Below are 6,291 nucleotides of genomic sequence, written 5' to 3' on the forward strand. Positions count from 1 at the left end.
CTCTGTCACCCAGGCTCTCTCGGCTCACTGCAGCCTCTGCCTCTTGGCTTCAATTGATTCTCCTGCCTCAGCTTCCCAAGTAGCTGGGATTATAGGCATGTGCCACCACACCCAGCTAATTTTCTTTTTTTTTTTTTTTTTGTATTTTTTTTTAGTAGAGATAGGGCTTCACCATATTGGCCAGGCTGATCTCAAACTCCTGTCCCCAAGTGATCCGCCCACCTCTGTCTCCCAAAGTGCTGGGATTACAGGCGTGAGCCACCGTACCCAGCCAGTGCAGCCACTTTGGAAAGCGGTATGGCAGTTCTTCAAAATGATACCATATGGCCCAGCAATTCCACTCCTAGATATATACCCAAAAAAAATTGCAGCTACTCAAACAAATACATGTATGTTCATAGCAGCATTATACAAAACAGCCAAAAGACATTGGGAAACAATGGTCCAGCAATGGATGAATGGATAAACAAATTGTGATATATACCTACAACGGAACATTCTTCAACTATAAAAAGGAATAAAGTGCTTGAGACATGCTACAACATGGGTGAACCTCAAAAATATCATGCTAAGTGAAGAAAATAAGACACAAAATGTCACATATTGTATGGTTTCATTTACATGAAATATCTGGAATAGGCAAATTCACAGAGACAGAAAGCAGATTGTGGGGGAAAGGGGTGGTGGAGAGGAAGAATGAGTAGTAACTGCCTAATGGGATGATGAAAACGTCCTGGTACTAGGCGAAAGCAGTAGTTGCATAACACCATAAATGGACTAAATCCCACTGAATTGTCCACTTTAAATTGGTTAACTCTATATTCTGTGAATTTTACCTTAATTTTAAAAAAACAAACTACCAGTTCCTTCCCTGACTTAATCTACTCCCTATATTAAAAAGTCCCTATAGATCGAGACCATCCTGGCTAACACAGTGAAACCCTGTCTCTACTAAAAATACAAAAAAAAAAATTTTACTGGGCGTGGTGGTGGGCACCTGTAGTCCCAGCTACTCGGGAGGCTGAGGCTGGAGAATGGCATAAACCCGGGAGGCGGAGCTTGCAGTGAGAAGAGATCGCGCCACTGCACTCCAGCCTGGGCAACAGAGCAAGACTCCGTCTCAAAAAAAAAAAAAAAAAAGTCCCTATAAACTTTTAGATTACAACCCAAAGTACAAAATAAATACCACGTGTCCATACTGACACAAATAGATGATGGAAGGAAGACGGAAGGAAGGAAGGAAGGAAGGAAGGAAGGAAGGAAGGAAGGAAGGAGGGAGGGAGGGAGGGAGGGAGGGAGGGAGGGAGGAAGGAAGGAAGGAAGGAAGGAAGGAAGGAAGGAAGGAAGAAAGGAAGGAAGGAAGGAAGGAGGGAAGGGAGGGAGGGAGGGAGGGAGGAAGGAAGGACGGAAGGGAGGGAGGGAGGGAGGGAGGAAGGAAGGAGGGAAGGGAGGGAGGGAGGGAGGGAGGAAGTATGCACAGAATATCTCAGAAAGCGCACTCTAGAACGATGGCATCAGAGGCCTCTGAGAGGGACTAGGTGCTTGCAGGTCCATGGAGGGAGGACGTGGCATATCCTTTTCTACACTGTGAATTTTGAACAAAAATAATTTAAAAAGCAGTATTCTGAAGCAAAAGTGACAAAAGGTTCATATCTGCCCAGATATAGGCACCCAGATGTATATGGATAATTATGTTCTGTAATTTTCTGCATATTTGAAAGATTAAAATCTCAAGAAAAGGCCCTATAGGCACCAAGGCCCTGAGGCAGGATGAAGTGCCGCCACTGTGGGCTGGAGAGTGGGGCCAAGGGACAAGGTGGCACAGGATGAGAGAAGTAGGTGGGGACTCGATCCTGGAGCCACAGAAGACCACACCCTTCCCACACATTCCAGAGGCTCCCATCCCTGCCAGCCTAATGCCATGTCTTTCTGAAGTGCTAACAGGGCCCCAGAGTCTGCCTCCTAAATCACCCAGTACCAGCCCTGGCCCGGGCTCTGCTGGCTCCTCGACATGACAAGTTCATTGTTCCCCTTCTTCCGAAGGCTGCTTTTCCCCAAGAGGCAGCTCTGAGCGGGCAGGTTTCTGTGGGCAGATGCCCTGAGGCAGGGTTCACAAAGGCAGTATTGTGTGGCTCCACAGAGCAGGATCCTCGCCCCATCCTCCAGCCCCCACATCAAAGAGGAAAGAAATCAAAGCTGCAGCGGCAGGAGAACACAGCCCATCCCTGGTCCCAGAGGGAGCTCTCGTGTGGTACATTTCATCCCTGGCAGATGAGGAGGTAGATGGAGGCAGGATACTAGCAGTATGTGGCCAGCACCGGCTGAACAGAATGACCACCAGGACAAGAGCCAAGTCGAGGGACAGCATCATCTCCAGGGAGCACAGCACTTTACCATTTGCAGCACAGCACGTGAAGGCAGGGCTGGAACTGAGAGGCTCACGGCAGATGAGAAAATCAAATCAGAGCGTACCAAGGTCACAGAGCTAGCTAGAGAGCCGAGGCTCTCAGGTCCCCTGCCCAGTGTGTTTCCCGGGAGTACAAGGTGGTTTCCACACCAGCAGCTGCAGACGGACTAATGAAGACACAAGGGCTAGACCTCCCACCTGCACCACTTAGTAGCTGGGATCTCTGGGTAGTCAATGACCTCCCTGACCTTGACCCCTCAAGGGTGCCAAGTGCAGTGTGTGGTGCATGGTAAATATTCAACAAATGGTAGCTCTTCTTACCCTGATGCCCTAGAAAAAACCCACTGGAGAGGTGTCACCTAACAGCAAACTCACCTACGCCAGGTGGCCTGGACTGAAACACTAGGAGGTGAGGGCAGCAGCGGGCAGGGTGTTGGGGTTCAATCAGGCTGGTGGGAAAAATATTAAAGATAGTTACAGTAATAGCCAAAAACTATCTTGGAAGACCTGAGAGTTTGCATAGCTTCAGATTGCTTGGCTGAAGGCAGCCAGGGTCTCTTTGCAGGAGCCAGAAAGATTAAGGTGCAAGTACAAAGGAATGTGGGAAGTCTATCTTACTAACCTGTTTATTTATATGGGCTTTAGACTGACCTTTGTCCTACCGGGTACTTTACTGCCTCCTACTCAGGGAGGTCTGCAAAAGTGTATTACTCACAAACGGTGTTTGCTTTAGGCCTCAGAAACTGGCCTTTAATCTTTACCCTCTAGTGGTGTTTACTTGCAACTTTTGTTAATTAGTGTTGCTGAATAAATGCGAGCCTCACTAGCTGATCAGGGCCGAGTCTCAACTGTTTACAGAACTCAGCTTGGAGCCTGTAAGTGGACCCTCAGCTGGACCGGCAGAGCAGAATATCTGTGTGCCAGTGTACTTTATTCATCTGTCACCGAATCAGGGGTCTGCAGGAACAGACTCCCTGCAGCTAACGCCCCCCGCAAAAGGAGCGCTGCCTCAGCAGGGCCCCTTAGGGGTAGCCCCAGATATGGCAGGCTGCCCCAGGCCTCAGAGAGGATCCTTGCAGGGAGACCTCCAGCCTCACCCCAAGGCTTGCCAGCTGTGTGGTGACTGAATGCAATCAGAGCCGCAGGACGGGTGAGGGGATTCGGGAGACCTGGGGGCTAATCCCTACTCTGCCACAGGAGACATGTGTTACTCTGGGAAAGTCACTTTGCTCTCTGAGCAGTAAAATGAAGAGTCTGGATTCCATGAAATTGAAGGCCCCTTCAAAACGAAGTCCCCGTGAATGTATTTTATCCCCAAAATCCTCCTGAAAGGAATAGATAGGTAGATAGAGATGGTTGGATGGTTGGATGGATGGATGGATGGATGGATGGATGGATGGATGGATGATGGTGATATAGATAGAAAGATGATAGAGGCAGATATACATACACACATACATATACATAAAAATTGGTTAGTTATTATCTTCTTTTAAGGCTAACAGAAAAGAAGAGAAGGAGGAGAAAAGGAAGGAAGGAAGGAGAGAGGGAGGGAAGGAAGATTGTCCTTTGGGCATCCAGGGACCAGCTGTTGGAAAAGTAAGTCCAGCTCCCTATGGAGCTGGTGCTCCAGGAATCACAACAAGGCTCAGAGACTCAGACCTCCAAAAAGCATAGAATAGAGGCCCCAGAAGGAAGGCCTGTCTCTTGCCTCTCCCAACAAGGACAAGCCCCGCCCTGTGACTCCCTAAGAAGAGCGTTACTCCTGCCAGACCATGGGCAGCCTGTCCTCGAATCCTGGCCTTGTACTGTGTTTGCATTGGAATCTTCTAGAAGCCCCAGGCCTAAGGGAGAAAGCTAGGCCTAGAGAGTGAGGAGATTTCCTGCTAACTAAAGAGACTACTGTTTATGAGACCAAATACACGACAGGTGAAACACAATACAACTTAGTGAACTAAGGATTCTGCAGGTTCAAGTGAGCAAAGTAACATCTCCCTGTTGGTGTTCAGCCTCCGCCGTGAGCCGCTAACTGGTACACCGAACTCCTGAGCACCTCCACCTATGTGACAATAGGCATCTCAAACTCATCTAAAATTCACCTCCATGATTCCTCCAGATATTAGATCTAAAACTTTGAAACCATCTTTGACCCTCTTTCTCTATCCCATTTAACTGCTAGCAAGACTCGCTGGTTCCACGTCTGCATATTAGCTAGCACGTGTAAGACATGCTGCATGCCACGTGCTGTTCTAAACACTTTCTGTATTAAATTATTCATTCTTTGGCTGGGCGGGTGGCTCATACCTGTAATCCCAGCACTTTGGAAGCCTGAGGCTGGAGGATCGCTTGAGGCCAGGAGTTCGAAACCAGCCTGCGCAACAGAGCAAGATCCTGCCTCTATAAAAAATAAATTTAAAAATTAGCCAGGTGTAGTGGCATGCACCTATGGTCCCAGATACCTGGGAGGCTAAGATGGAGGATTGCTTGAGACTGAGAAGACTGCAGTGAGCCACAGTAGTCCCACTGCACTCCAGCCTGGGCAACAGAGAGAGACCCTGTCTCAGAAAAAAAAAAAAAAAAAAAAAGCCGTTCAGTCTTCATGGTGGCTCTATGGAGTAGGTACTCGCATCCCCATTTTACAGATAAGGAAGCTAAGTCACACAGAGGTTAAGTAGCTGTGAAGCGATGGGGCCGAGGTCGAAGGCAGGACAGGTGGCTCCAGTGCCTGTGTGCTTCACCACTCCACAAACTGCCCTCCAGGGATTTCCAATCACCCCCATCTCCATGGCTCCAGCCCCCGCACCTCCCTCTCTCACCAGCCTCCTCACTAGACACCCTGCTGCCCCCTCCCTGCACACCTTACAATATTTTCCTCAACAGAAAGCAGCAGAGAGAGCTTTAAAAGGAAAGGCAGCTCAAAAAAAAAAAAAAAAAAAGGCCAGGCGCAGTGGCTCATGCCTGTAATCCCAGCACTTTGGGAGGCCGAGGCGGGCGGATCACCTGAGGTTGGGAATTTGCAACCAGCCTGGCCAAAATGGCAAAACCTGTCTCTACTAAAAATACAAAAAAATTAGCTGGGCATGGTGGCAGTCACCTGTAGTCCCAGCTACTCAGGAGGCTGATTCAGGAGAATCGCTTGAATCCGGGAGGCAGAGATTGCAGTGAGCCAAGATCGTACCACTGCACTCCAGCCTGGGCAACAGTGCAAGACTCTGTCTCTAAAATAAAACAAAATAAAATAAAATAAGATAAAATAAAATAAAATAAAACAAAACAAAACAAAACAAAATAAAACAAAACAAAACAAAATAAAATAAAATAAAATGGAAGGCAGTTCAGATAACACCTTTGTTCAAAGACTCCTGTAGTTCCCATGTCACTCAGAGCCTACACCAAAATACTCACCTTGGCCTACAAGATCCTGCATGGTCCGACTTCATCTTCTCCCAGGGTCCCTTTGCTCACTCTGCATCAGACTCATTGTTCAATATTCCCAGAGGCCTCTGTGCTTGCCGTTCCGTCCCCACAGCCTGAAACACCCTTCCCCCCAGCTACCTACCAGGCTCATGCCACCGCTTATCATTGAAGTCTTCCTGAAAACCCTATTGAAAGTATTGACTGCCCATCCCTCACTCTTCCTATTCCCCATACGGGTGTCTCTCCACAGCATGGCCATCATCAGATATGTGACCTATCTACTCTACCTCCCTACCTGACAAAAACCTCCATGAGGGCAGGACCTGGGCGCGTTTTATTCCCTGCTATATCCCCTATGCTTAGAATAGTTACTTGGACCAGGCACTTAACAAATACTTGTTGAATAGATGAATGAAGGCATGACTAAATAAAGTTCTTCCAGGTACAACTGCAGTCTGGTGGGAGTT

The 6,291-nt window shown here is 48.1% G+C and overlaps 1 annotated feature.

The window, feature by feature from the left end:
* Nucleotides 2,941-3,441: an enhancer, noted in NCBI's record as "H3K4me1 hESC enhancer chr1:25494962-25495462 (GRCh37/hg19 assembly coordinates)". NCBI's record gives its function as "activates a minimal SCP1, AML or CMV promoter by ChIP-STARR-seq in primed H9 embryonic stem cells {active_cell/tissue: H9 hESC(primed)}" and the evidence as "EXISTENCE:reporter gene assay evidence [ECO:0000049][PMID:30033119]".

This window comes from Homo sapiens, chromosome 1 (assembly GCF_000001405.40).
Source record: "Homo sapiens chromosome 1, GRCh38.p14 Primary Assembly".
Lineage (NCBI taxonomy): Eukaryota > Metazoa > Chordata > Mammalia > Primates > Hominidae > Homo > Homo sapiens.